The sequence below is a fragment of the Homo sapiens genome, chromosome 2 (genome assembly GCF_000001405.40).
Source record: "Homo sapiens chromosome 2, GRCh38.p14 Primary Assembly".
In the NCBI taxonomy this organism is placed as follows: Eukaryota; Metazoa; Chordata; class Mammalia; order Primates; family Hominidae; genus Homo; species Homo sapiens.
The window spans coordinates 229,762,587-229,776,726 of record NC_000002.12 but is presented as its reverse complement, the minus strand read 5'-3'; the positions used below and the strand labels follow the sequence as shown (position 1 = coordinate 229,776,726).

General features: G+C 38.5%; 1 protein-coding gene across 58 annotated transcripts in view; it reads left to right on the top strand.

Moving 5' to 3' along the window:
• The window catches only part of TRIP12 (thyroid hormone receptor interactor 12), a 159,350-nt gene extending 146,460 nt beyond the window's left edge, over positions 1–12,890 (top strand). For all 58 annotated transcript variants that reach the window (NM_001284216.2, XM_047446397.1, XM_047446395.1 and 55 more), the window contains 5 exons: positions 2,466–2,630; positions 5,095–5,208; positions 7,402–7,496; positions 8,008–8,111; positions 8,977–12,890. In NM_001284216.2, the coding sequence (NP_001271145.1) occupies positions 2,466–2,630; positions 5,095–5,208; positions 7,402–7,496; positions 8,008–8,111; positions 8,977–9,173 (675 nt within the window). In that variant the 3' untranslated portion in view covers positions 9,174–12,890. The remainder of the gene's footprint in view (positions 1–2,465; positions 2,631–5,094; positions 5,209–7,401; positions 7,497–8,007; positions 8,112–8,976) is intronic.

Sequence of the window (14,140 nt, the reverse complement as noted above, 5' to 3'; positions counted from 1 at the left end):
GAAGAAAACAAGATTCTATTTTTTTGTGGCACAGACCCAAAAAGCTTGTTTGGGCTGGTAACATGGACCAATATTAATCAACTCTCATTTTATAAATTAAGTAAGAATAGCAAGTTAAGATTCTGTAGTGAGGGAGAGTGTCACCTCTCCTGATGAGTTGGAGAGGATCTTATGGTAGAGGGATAGGATTTTAGAGTGTCTTTTTATTAGAAGATTTGTAAGATTCACTTTATCTCCCATACTAATTTGTAATTATTTGGTGCTGTTTGAAAAAGTAAGTCTGTTAAGAGAAATTGGTATTCAAAGAGGCTAAGTCCACCTTTTCTGTACAGAATTTGTCATTTTAGAATTTTTAGAACCATTTTGATTTTCCCTTCACAACTTGGTAAGTTTTAAACTATTACAGTGTTGTTTAGGATTATCTCTTAGGTAAATAATGGAAAAACAAAAAAAGGAGAAACAAAAAAGCAAGTAAAACAGGAGGCTCTGTTTTAGATAGCATATATATGTTAATTTATTTAATCCCAACAACTACCATATGAGATTGGGGTATTGTTGTTACCTCTATTTTACTGGTGAGCAAACCAGGGCAGACAGATTGAGCAACCTGCCTAAGGTCACACACCTAGAGAACACAGAGTAGGAACTCAAACCCAGGCTGTCTGCATGCTTCCACACCATGCAAGCTCTGTGATATATGCTTGTCTCAAATGCAGTATGCCGCCACAGTTCTCTTGTCAGTAGTTTTTTTGTTTGTTTGTTTTTTTGAGATTTGTTCTATCCTTTATTGTTCCTGATGCTGTCAGTTTAAAAATATAAAATGAGTGGCACAGAATCCACACTCCAGAAATTGACTTATTATAATAACCAACTGTGAACAAGAGCATGAGAAATGGTGACATTCTGAAAAACCACATCCTGTTTCTTTAATAAAGTATATATACAGATGGGGGCAAGTTGTCCTGGCTCAGATTCTACTGGGTAGCTTAAATTCTCTAAAGAAATATGGAAAATGTGCTAGAATTTACAATGTCCTAGAGATGTTTAAAGGGAATTTACGTTAGTTTCTCGACTTAATATATAAAATCTAGAGAAACTAATGTAAATTCCTTTTAAACATCTCTAGGACATTGTAAATTCTAGATTCCTATCTAATAACAACACTTTGTAATGCACATCTTTAGAAATAAGATATTTCCTTGGTAGCTATGAGAGAAGACTTTCCAGTGGTGTAATAGTAATCACCTTGATCTGTGACAGGGAGTCACAGAGGATAGTTTTGAGAGCTTACCAGTGGGGGGAACATGAAAATGGAGAACTTTCTTTTTTTTTTTTTTTTTAAATCTTTGTGCTGAAGAATACTTCAAATGTAAAATAAAATGCCTCCCTTTGGAGGTCTTCAAATGACACCTAAAATGGAGAGAGGCTTAAAAGTGGGTTTTTGCAGAGAAGTAAAAATGGACATAATTCTGTGACCATTTACTTTCAATAATCTGCCACCTCATTGATATTCTGAATTATTTAGAATCCTAAACAGCATTTAGTTTGCTCTTTAAAAAATGACTAATTAATTAATCAGAACATTCTAACTGTTTCTAGTTTAAATGACTAATTTTCTGTACCTTAATTGTTACCCTATAGGAATTTCATACACGGAGGCATTTCCAGTTTGGAAAGCCATTTGTCTTCTTTCTCCTAACTTGTTGTCTTCAGTTTTAGATGGAATTTGCATTTTTGCATGTTGGTTTTTGATCCTTAAGTTTAAAAAAATTTACATGGGCCTTTCATAATCTTAGACATTTTTTAAAAAGTGAGTAATAAAGACTTCTTAACGTTTGTCTTATAAAGTATTGCTTGCCTTTTCTTAGGGATTTCTTGGAACTTTTTTTTTTTTTTTAGATCACAGTGTTGCTGCATAGATACAAACTTGTTATGCATCAGAGGCCTGAAGTAGTTGAATGAAGTCTCTCCAGGCTTCATTCTGTAGACTTGAGCTTTGCAGGGGTAGAAAGTTAATCACTATCACTAGATAGTATGTTTTTTATATTTACGATTTCCCAACTGTATTATTAGTATTGGCTGTATACTTATACAGTATTGGATTCAAAATTAGCCTAGAATTTATGAAAAGTTTGTCTAGTTCTAGGGTCCACATTCTTAAAATTAACTAATATGCAACCTATTATGCACTTACTGTGAAATTTGATTTGCATATGCTTAAACTGAGCAGCAGCATCTCATAATGAAGAAGCACTTCAGCTCTCTTTTCTTATGCTTACTTCCTTTGTAATCTCAGTGACTCTTTCATATGTAGATTATGACCAGGAAAAAAATAAAGAGGCTAAGAGTTGAACCCATCAGCTTTATTAGGATAGCTTATATTTTATTAGGATATCTTTTATTTTTTTAAACAACCGTAAGTTAATTTTGCTTGACACCATTTCTCCCCCATTTGTGTTTTTTAGACCAAAGAGAGTCTACAGTATGCATTAGAAACCTTGACTATGAATGGCTGCTCAGTTGAAGATCTAGGACTGGATTTCACTCTGCCAGGGTTTCCCAATATCGAACTGAAGAAAGGAGGGAAGGATATACCAGTCACTATCCACAATTTAGAGGAGTATCTAAGAGTATGTAACTGTGTCTTTGGGGGGTAGGCCAGTTGTGAAGACGGAGGACTTTGCCTGATTGTACCTTGCTTCTGGCTGCACACGCTATGGCTTGAGACCTTCCACATCCCCAGGACCACTGCATGAAGGCTGCTTTACAAGGCACTAGCTTCTCTTTGCTCTTGAGTGCACATATCAGATATTTCCTGTCTTATATAACCTTGAATTATTTCTCCTCAGGCTTGAATGCTATCTAATTACACCACGTTTTCTTAGTTTAAAAAACAAGTGAAAAGAGACATTATTTGTGTTCTCACTAAATTGCATTTTTGCATTTCCATCAAGGCAGCTAGCTTGACAGAATTTACTCCAGGCACCGTGCAGTGCACACTTTTATGTTTGGTGACACCTTTCAAATTACTAACTTATGGGCGAGGTGCAGTGGCTCACGCCTGTAATCCTCCCAGCACTTTGTGAGGCAGAAGCAGGAGGATTACTTGAGGCCAGTAGTTCAAGACCAGCCTGGGCAACAAAGTAGGGGCCTTGTCTCTACAAAAAAATGCAAAAATTAGCTGGGTGTGGTGTCATGAGTCTGTAGTCCCAGCCACTTGGGAGGCTAGGGTGGGAGGGCGCTTGAGCCCTGGAGTTCAAAGTTACAGTGAGTCAAGGTTGCACCACTGCACTCGATCCTGGGCGACAGAGCAAGATCGTTTCTCTTAAAAATACATACATATATATATATTAGGCTGGGCACGGTGGCTCATGCCCGTAATCCCAGCACTTTGGTTGGCCGTGGTAGGCAGATCACAAGATCAGGAGTTCAAGACCAGCCTGGCCAACATAGTGAAACCCCATCTCTACTAAAAATACAAAAATTAGCCAGGTGTGGTGGCACACACCTGTAGTCCCAGTTACTGAGGAGGCTGAGGCAGGAGAACCGCTTGAACCAGGGAGGTGGAGGTTCCAGTGAGCCGATACCGTGCCCCTGCACTCTGGCTTGGGCAACAGAATGAGACTTCATTTCAAAAAAAAAAAAAGCATGTATATATTAATTTGTGATGCTTGACTATATTTGCTAAATTCAGGAAAATAATTTTATATTGAACACAAATTGTATTTTAAATTACCACTATATAGATCCTTATTACCAATGTTTGAAAAATTTGTTTTGGTTTATTCCTGACATTGGGTGGAAGGGGCATTGGATTTAGGTCAGAATGGCTATCTACCCCTTGAACTGACCTTTCCACTAACTTGCTTTGTGACTTTAGATGGAGCCTCTGAAGAACTTCATCACCATTTTCTTCATCAGCTTTAAAAGAGAGAGAGAGAGAGAATATAGGTTAAATAATAACTGGCTAGGCGTGGTGGCTCACACTTGTAATCCCAACACTTTTGGAGGCCAAGGCGGGCGGATCACGAGGTCAGGAGTTCAAGACCAGCCTGACAAACATCGTGAAACCCCGTCTCTACTAAAAATACAAAAATTAGCCAGGCGTGGTGGTGCACGCCTGTAGTCCCAGCTACTCGGGAGGCTGAGGCAAGAGAATTGCTTGAACCCAGGAGGCGGAGGTTGCAGTGAGTCAGGATCATGCCACTGCACTCCAGCCTAGGCGACAGAGCGAGACTCTGTCTCAAAAATAATAATAATAACCAGAGTCCCCTGTTACTTAACAGTTCTGTGATTCATAAGTAATTCCTTTTAGTATTCAGTAGGACTGTCTTCTTATCCTGTTTCTTCTACTGACTTTGTGAAAGCTATTCTTCCATCTTACTAGCAAATAATGAGTTAACATTTAGATTAAGGTTATCTCAAAATAATTTATACTAATGCTTATAATTTTCTATCAAGAAAATCCTAATGTTTTCATTTTTATCTGAAAATGTTGTTTCTCTACCCATTGGGCTACCCAAAGTCAGTGATGACTAGATAATGTTGGACCAATAAGAGTTGCTTTTTCTTACCCTTCAATTGCATGTGACTTCATTTCCAGGCTTTGCCTACTTTTAGTAGGAAGCACACACTGCAGACAGGTTGGGTTCTAAGAACTTCACAGGATTTAGAACTAAACATTTTACGTTAAAAATTAAAAACCCTTAATAGTGGCTAATTGTGATTCTTCAAACATTACCTTTAATTCTCAATAACATTTTATCCTCTTGGGAAATTCTCATTTGATTCCCATCCAGTGAGGTAATATAACTGTATGGCATGGGTTTCACATAAATAGATTTTTAAAACACACTAAATGTAAATGCACATGGCATTTTTTTTTTACATTTTGTTATTGGTAGGGGCCCCACATTAGATGTTGACCTGATGTTTTACTCATGTAGTTTTCTAGCAGATTATTTTAAAGTCTTAATAACTTGTTTGTTCTTTATAAAGTGATCCAGAAGGGTGTTTCACTGTACTTTGCCACATATTAAATAGTAAAGAGATTTGAAATCTTGTCACAGTTTTTTGAAAACTTTCTTTTTGCAGCTGGTTATATTCTGGGCACTAAATGAAGGCGTTTCTAGGCAATTTGATTCGTTCAGAGATGGATTTGAATCAGTCTTCCCACTCAGTCATCTTCAGTACTTCTACCCGGAGGAAGTGAGTAGCTTATATCTAAAAGAAATGGTCATACCTATAATTTTAGTGGAGTGTTTCTGTGCTGCCTAGTCAAAGACCGTATTGTTGCACAAAAACAAAAAAATGGGTGTTAGATAGCAGGGGATGGATGTTTGGGAAAGACAAGGAAATTGCCTGAGCAAGGAAGAATGTTAAATAGGTGTCCCCTCTTAGATTGGGGAGCGGGTTCCACGCGTGACAGTAAGCATAGCATCTTTGTCAGCCAAGACCCTCAATGCCATTCAGTGGAGAATGGGGACTTGTGCTGTGTGTGGCATGTTCTACATGTTTCTGTACTGCTGTGGAAGCAAAGAGAGACATGGAGGGGGCTTGACTTTATTCCTTAACTAAACTTCGTTTCGATGAGACATTGTTTCACAATCAAAGTTAGTCCTTGAAGTTTTAAGAAAGTATTATAAATTATCTAATTGCCAAATACAGAGAATACTTCTGAGAATGGAAGAAATGGATTTATGTGCTTGGTTTTCTCTAGCCGCCTGTATTAGTCTGTTTTCATGCTGCTGATAAAGACATAACCGAGACTGGGCAATTTACAAAAGAAAGAGGTTTATTAGACTTAGAGTTCCACGTGGCTGGGGAGGCCTCACAATCATGGTGGAAGGTGAAAGGCACATCTCACATGGCAGCAGACAAGACGAGAGCTTGTGCGGGGAAACTCCCCTTTTTGAAACCATCAGATCTCGTGAGACATATTCACTATTATGAGAATAGCCTGGGAAAGACCTGCCCCCATGATTCAGTTACCTCCCACCAGGTCATTCCCACAGCAGGTGGGAATTGTGGGAGTTACAGTTCAAGATGAGATTTGGGGTAGGGGCACAGCCAAACCATATTACCGTCTTTAATTTCAAGTGCCAAATCTCAAAAGAACTACTCACTGGTAGTGAGATACAGAAAGCCTCTAGAATGTGTCCAGTTTCCCTCAGTTTTGAAACCTTTTTATTTATTGTTTGAATACTAGTTTTAGAGTGTATGTTCACTACTGATTAAATCTATAAATTTTTGATTAACTTAACGTCTTAATCTCAGTTATATTTGTGTCTACTTAAGCATGTAGTGTGCCTGATACTTGTAGGCACTGCTTGTCACCTGGAATAGAATCATGGTCCTCACCACTTGCTGTATAACCTTATCCAAGTTACTGTATCTGATAGGACTGTTTCATCTGTAAAATTGGAATAACCCCTATCACAGAGTAATGGAAATTAAATAGGCTGGGCACAGTGACTTAGCCTATAATCCCAGCACTTTGGGAGATGGAGGTGGGAAGATCACTTGAGCTCGGAAATTTAAGATTAGGCTGGGCAACATAGTGAGACCTTGTCTAAAATAAAAAAAATAATTAGCTGGGCGTGGTGGTATGCACCTGTAGTCTCAGCTACTTGGAAGGCTGAGGTTGGAGGATCACTTGAGCCCAGGAGATCATGACGGGAGTGAGCTGTGATTAGGCCACTACACTCCAGCCTGGGCAACAGAGCAAAGCTTTGTCTTTAAATATATAGGACCAGACAGTGAGCATTATATAATAGATATTAAATTTCATTGGCCTCAAATTGGATTTTCTCAAAGTATAAGGACATGAAAGCATTTATTGCTTTCTAATATTCATTCTATAATATCTGGGTTGGTCCCCATACAACCAACCATGTAGCGTAGACATGCCTCTCTACAAAGTGTAAAGACCTACCCATTTGCTGTGTCCTAGTTCAGCTTGCTTCTCCCACTTCTTTCTCCAGCTCAATGTTCTCTCCCTTGGCATCTGTTACTGTATACCTTTGTGTTTCTGAAAGCCAGGATTTATAAAATCTCCCTGACTAGAAGCAGATTATCCATTTAAAGCACCTAAAGTAATGAGAAGAAAGGAAAACTGAAATCAAGGGTCATCAGGTGTTTTTGGTTTGAGAGGAAGGGTTTCTCAGGAACCAAGTCCCTGCAGATGGGCAGGGTACTTAATAGCGTACAGCTAAAAAGGAAATGGAATCTCTAAATTTTATTTTATTTTATTATTATTTTTTTTTTTTTGGAAAGAGGTCCCAAGCAGAAGGTTTTAGTACTGAGACTGATACTCTTTTATGGTACACGTAGACCTTTATTTTCACTCACGTAAACAAATGTTTCCTTAGTAATTCTTTTTACCCTTATTTAAACTCACAGCTGGATCAGCTCCTTTGTGGCAGTAAAGCAGACACTTGGGATGCAAAGACACTGATGGAATGCTGTAGGCCTGATCATGGTTATACTCATGACAGGTAAGTACTGGGGTCTGCCAGTTTTTCTGTTGATTCTGAAGAATGTGGAGAGGGGTGTGTGTGTACACACACATGCGCACATGTGTAAACAACAAAAGTTGGAGTGGTTCATTTTAAAATGTGTCTACCTGTTAATGGATGCTTACTTCTGTTTTGGCCTTATTTCTCTGAAGATGGGAAATTAAGACCCAAGGGTTTCTTTCTCAAGTATTTCTGTGAAAATACTAGGGGTTGGGGAAGACAGATTTAATCTTGTTCCCCATTATTACATATAGTAAAGCAGAAATATCTGTACAGTACCAGATCAAGTCTTACTTATTACAACTGTAATCATTCCATTTGAATTCTAGTCTAGTCATAACAGAAACGAATTTAAGTACATTGTAATGGAAAATGTATGTGTAATTTAAAAGTGCTAATCTAATTTTTATGTCATGTGATGCGATGCAGTGTGATTAAAACTCTATTTTAACCTGATGAAATAATTTTGGTATATTTATTTCTGTTATAGTCGGGCTGTGAAGTTTTTGTTTGAGATTCTCAGTAGTTTTGATAATGAGCAGCAGAGGTTATTTCTCCAGTTTGTGACTGGTAGCCCAAGATTGCCTGTTGGAGGTGGGTACGATGTTGATGTTTAGCATTTATTCTACCTATGGGTGGGTTTGTGAGTGTGAAACTTCAGTACCATCAGCAGGAGATTCTTTATCTCACTTGCAGTGCCTCTTAGTTATTCCAGTATCATTATAGTACATTGAGACCACTAGCAGGGAAATCCATGGGGATTGTCTTAAACATATTGAAGTAGGATTACTAATGCACATGTAATGCTGGTTAGATAAAATTCCAGGCCATTTGTACATTCTAAACTCTTAGTTGACTTAGATGAGAATGGATTCTAAAATCTGGTTTTTCAGATTGAATCCTAATGTAAGTTAAATTGGTATTCTGTTGTTTTTGTTTTGTTTTTTGAGACAGGATCTCACTCTTGTCACCCAGGCTGAAGTGCAGTGGCGTGATCTTGGCTCACTGCAACCTCTGCCTCCTGGGCTCAGGCGAGATCCTCCTGCTTCAGCCTCCTGTGTAGCTGGGACTACAGGCACAACACAGCACCATGTCTGGCTAATTTTTGTATTTTTGTAGAGATAGGGTTTCTCCATGTTTCCCAGGCTGGTCTGAAACTCTCAAGCGACTGGCTCACCTCGGCCTCCCAGAGTGCTGGGATTACGGGCGTGAACCACTGTGGGTATTCCATTTTAAAAATCAGAAGACATAAAGAACTGTTGCCTCCATGTTATACAGCGAGTTTTTAAATGATAAATTAAAGCAGGTTCCTTGCACTTAATGTATATTGAATGTGCAATTGCCAAGCAAGAAAGAATATCTTGTGTGTAATATTGTACGGCAAAGCAGTGGAATGTTTTCTGATAGCTGATGTTTTTTAAAAACTTAAGTTCCTTGTCTTTCTTTTTCTCTTAATCAGGATTCCGGAGTTTGAATCCACCTTTGACAATTGTCCGAAAGACGTTTGAATCAACAGAAAACCCAGATGACTTCTTGCCCTCTGTAATGACTTGTGTGAACTATCTTAAGTTGCCGGACTATTCAAGCATTGAGATAATGCGTGAAAAACTGTTGATAGCAGCAAGAGAAGGGCAGCAGTCGTTCCATCTTTCCTGATCATAGCAAGAAATGCAGTGTCTGCCTGTTACAGCAAAAGAAACAAATCATGATTTCTTTTCTAATGTTATCACCTGAGTCAAGGAAACATGTTACGCCTTCTTGTTGTAGGAAAAACGGCTTGCAGATTATAAAGAGACATTTGGTTGATATTCATTAATGGCCCCATGGACTTAAAGTGATCAGGCCCTAAAACGTTGTTGTGATGAGGTTTCTTTAGCAAGTTCTTGTTTAAATTATCATTTATTTGATGAGTGAAGTTTTTAACATGCTTTGCTGTGTGAAATTTAAAAAAGGGATGTTTTTCCAGGCTGGAACAATAAATGTGGCTGTGCAGTTTAATTCTGGGCTGTGTGTATCCATCTAGCTAAGTCTGCAGTTTTCTTTCCTCCAAAGACAACTCTTGTACATAAGTACAGAAATTTAAGCTCACATGTATTTGACAAATATAGTTTAGTAGACTAGCTCTATGTGCTTTTCACTTTCCTCTGATTTTCTCTCCCTGATTCATTATTATCTGTGCAGCTCACAGTTTTTTTTTTGTATACAACTCACAGTTCTCAAATTTTCGTTACCCATGGGCTTCTGTTGTCCCATGTTCTCTCCAGTTAAGATCTAATTTAAAATTCATTGGATTGAAATTTATTGAATATAATTCAGCTTTTGTAACTAGGTAGACTTTTCTTATAGTTTAGTTTTAATATAGTTTAGGGTATTACTGGCTTTTTCCCAGGTGACACACTAAGGACTGTTTACATGGCAATTCCAGCAGCAACAGCCTCTGGAATGAGACAAGGAAAGCTCATTTGTTTCTTTTATGAAGGTTAAGAAGTCTACAGCTTGGGCTGGCCGGTATTTATTATTCTGTGGCCAGAGGATTTTAAATTAATGTAAATTTTTTAAACAAAATAAGCAGTTTTCCTTCCCTGTTGGAGTAAAAAAATTTTTTTCCCTTTGTTGTTTTACGTTTTTGTTCATAGTCTTCTTTATTCCACGCTCCTCTTCCCCTTCTCCCAGTGCTGACTTGGGACAAAACAGTTCAGCCTTTGTCTCGACGCAGATAAAAGCACCTGTAAGCAATGCTGTCCAGTCATTTTATGTGCTGATTTCTCAAATCTGCAATAATCCATCAGGTTAATGTTTTTACCTGAAAATAAAGAAAGTTTGCTTCACCTTTTTGTTTATAGTTTTGTGCTGTATGCATAACTTTCAATTGTATAGATGTATTTCAATGCAAGGAAATCCACATATCTCCATGATTCGGGTCATGGCTGATTTTGCTATTCAAACAATTTATAATAGCAACTTGAAGAAACTAAAATGTGAAGAGAAAATGGGAGGAGATTCCTTCCTAAGGTCCAAAACTAGGCCTGTGGCATAAATTTGAAGGAATTTTCCATAATTCATCTCCTTGAAAATAAGAGATGAGCTAGTTTTTTTTTTTAATTGAACTTTGAGAAATCAATTTTTTTGACTGTTCTGTAAGTTTTAATTAATTGACACAAAAGCCCTTTTCCCTATCCCACCACCCAAAAGAAACTCAGTGGCTTGTTTGACATAGATTGCTGTGTCAATTTACACTTAAATGGCCTTATATGGAAATGTCCCCTCCTGAGAGTTCACTTGGGCAGTGACCCCATTAAGTGGAAGGGAACTGTCAGAGGAGTTGGGGGCAGAGAATTCTCTCCCTGTCTCTGCAGAGACTGACAAGTGAATGGCTTTTCCCTGAAATCCAAGAAGGGAATTGTGTTTCTGCAGTTTTCACCACTAACAGCACAGTTGCTGAGCAGCTTCATCAAGTGAAGTTAAAGACTGAAACAATTTGTTTTCAACTGTTCTGATATCTTCCTGCAAATTAAGCACAAGGATTTTTGTGTGAACATAGCATTTTGTTCCTGATTTTTAAAGGGTTCTGTTAAAATTTAGACATGTATAAACAAAATAATGTTTCATCTGTACTTGACATTTTATCCATGTTGCAGCCCTGGCAAATTTGGCCTCATTGATTCCAGCATCTAATAAGTATATATGATGATTTTGACTCAAACTCTAAAGTCTTGAGTGTTTCAAAGTCAGTCGTTACCTGTTTAAAAGCCTCAGCCTTTAGCTTATTCCTCCTTCAATACACGGGACCTTTGGTTAATTTGGGGCAGGAAAACTCTTAAAGTAATCTCTCTTGGCAGAGGCCTTATTGCACCAGAGGGAAAAAGTATATACTTCATTTGCTGTTACTCCAGTTATGCCTTAAATTCATTTGCTTGGTAATCCTATCAACGAGCACTAACTTCTTAGTATACTTTAAACACTTAGTTGGGTAACAACTGAGATTTTGTTGTCCTTTATTTTTTGCTGAGATGGAGTCAGTCAGATGTTAGTCATAGCTAACACCGAATTTGTGTTGTCATTTAGACAGTTACTGATTCGATCTGCTTTATATATGAGAACGTATTTTTAACTATTCCAAGAAGGAAGAGGTAGCTAAATGTAATCCCCTCTTCCTATCCCCCCAGAAAACTGAACTGTAAGTTCTAGGTAGACTAATTGGGAGCAGACACGGAGTTTTAGATGCCTTAGCCAAACCCAGCAGAAACCTTTCACACAGCCACTCATCGTAAGAAACGCAGATTTTTCTCTTCTCATGCTTGTCTCTGGTTCCCTGCATTTGTAGTGACAGAACTTTCACTAGCAGGATATAAAGAAAGTAATTATGCTTGGAGTCCCTCTTTACTGGGTTTGAGTTAGGTGCATAACATGGAAAGGAGTGGTGCCTTCAAATGAATGTGACCACTCCGTATTGTGGAGTGACTTCCCTAGGGCATCCTATACATCCTACCACAGAAGGCCAAGGGACAGAGCACCAACTTCAGTATCCAAGAAATTAGATCCACAACTCTTGATTTTCCACACTGAGGACTGTCGCGAGTAAGTTGTAAGTTTGCCGTCTTCCTTCTGGCTTAGCAGGTGCTGCAGCTGTACTCTCGACTCCTGTCTGTGAGCGTGAGCTCAGGAAATGAGAGTGGAGTCTATTCCAAAAAAAAAATGTGATGAAGTTTTTCATAAAAGTGCATTCATATGCCAAATCCTTTTTGGAGGATTCTGGATGCTATTGTTCATTTCTCTACTAGTAAAATGATCAAGCCTTCATTTATTTTAGGCTTTGTTTTTTGATCCATTTTGTTTTCCCTGCTGTAATGAGAATAATTGTTTGGAAATGTCATATTCTGTATTTATGATTCTCTGAGAAATGCTTTTGTATAAGTCTTAGGTTTGACATTGCAGTAGTTGACATACACGGTAAAGGATAACCTAGTGACAAATCACTGAAGATGCTTCCTTTGTTACCTCAAAAAAAAAAATCCAGACAAAATAGCATTTATAAATATAGAAAACAGGATTGGCTGTTTTCCAAGAACTTCAAGTTAACAATTCTTATGCAAGGAAAAGTTCTTAATGCTAAAGACTTGTTCTGCATGAAGGAGACATTCTTTAATAATGGAAGAGGTGGTTTTATTTTTACTACAAGCCGACTCATATTTCCAAACCTATAACCAATTGCTGATCTCCTGTGTAAAGCATTTTTTTCCTTTTATCTGAAACAGTGATTTATATGAACTGTTGGAATAATGGAACCTCAAACTACAGATGTGTATGTAAAATTGCATAAATGCACTGACTTCCTTCTCCCTGACTATATTTTTAATAAACAGCATTATCCTACATGGTCAGTTTTATTAAATTATACACAACTAGAGGGTTCTTCTAAGAAGTGCTATGTGCTTGCGTGGGTGACTTTTGGAAAGCTTCCTATTTTGGTAAGTAATGCAGTGAGTGAACTTAGCTTTTTTTGGAGGCAGATAGTGGAGAACGCTGTAGAAAACAAATACACTTAAAAAGGTGGCCCTGCTACCTGCTTGTTGGTGGAGCATTTGTGTAAGGTATCCCTATGCGCCGGCAAAATAGTGCCATTGGCGTTGAAAATGTGCACAGACAATAGGGCCTACTGGTTGGAACACTATGAAGTCATCGTGCTTGACTTTCAAGACTGGCTCTTCTGCCCTTAGCAAATGTCCAGTCTATTTCACTGAAACAGAAAAAGCAAAGTAGAATTGATTTACAAAAGTGAAAGATGGATTTTTGTTAGAAGAGTGATGACTGAATTTAATTTTATTTTTAAAGGTCTGTGTACAGTTACACAACTCACATACGTATATGCACATATACACGCACACATACATTGTCTTGATACAACTGCCTGAGGGAAAAACACACGTTTCCTTTGATAAATCTCTTGGTCTGTAAAATTTCTAAATCAGAGATGAAAGGCACTACTAAATAAAAGCTCACCACAAGACAGGCATGGAAGTTTATAACCAATCTGATGTTGTCTAGATAACCAATTCTGTGTTTGGAGCTGGGTAGCATTGCACTTCTGGTTGATGTGATTGTATGAATTAGTGTTCGCATGTTAATGGGTATATGGATGAAGTTTTCCATCTTAATGACAGTTGTTGGGGCACTGTTCTGGTAGAAAGCACAATGTCTCTGCAAACTCTTGAGGCCAATGCATACAAAAGCAGGAGGCATTTTGGGAGGGGAGAGATTCAGCCATTGCAGAACAATTCTAACTCATGCTTACAGAAGGCTGTGTCATTCCTTCCTCTTTTTTTTTGAGCCAGGTTAGTAACCTCAACATTAGCTGGGGCCGGACGCGGTGGCTCACGCCTGTAATCCCAGCACTTTGGGAGGCCGAGGCGGGTGGATCACGAGGTCAGGAGATCGAGACCATCCTGGCTGGCACAGTGAAACCCCGTCTCTACTAAAAATACAAAAAATTAGCCGGGCGAGGTGGCGGTCGCCTGTAGTCCCAGCTACGCGGGAGGCTGAGGCAGGAGAATGGCGTGAACCCCGGGGGCCGGAGCCTGCAGTGAGTCGAGATCGCGCCACTGCACTCCAGCCTGGGCGACAGC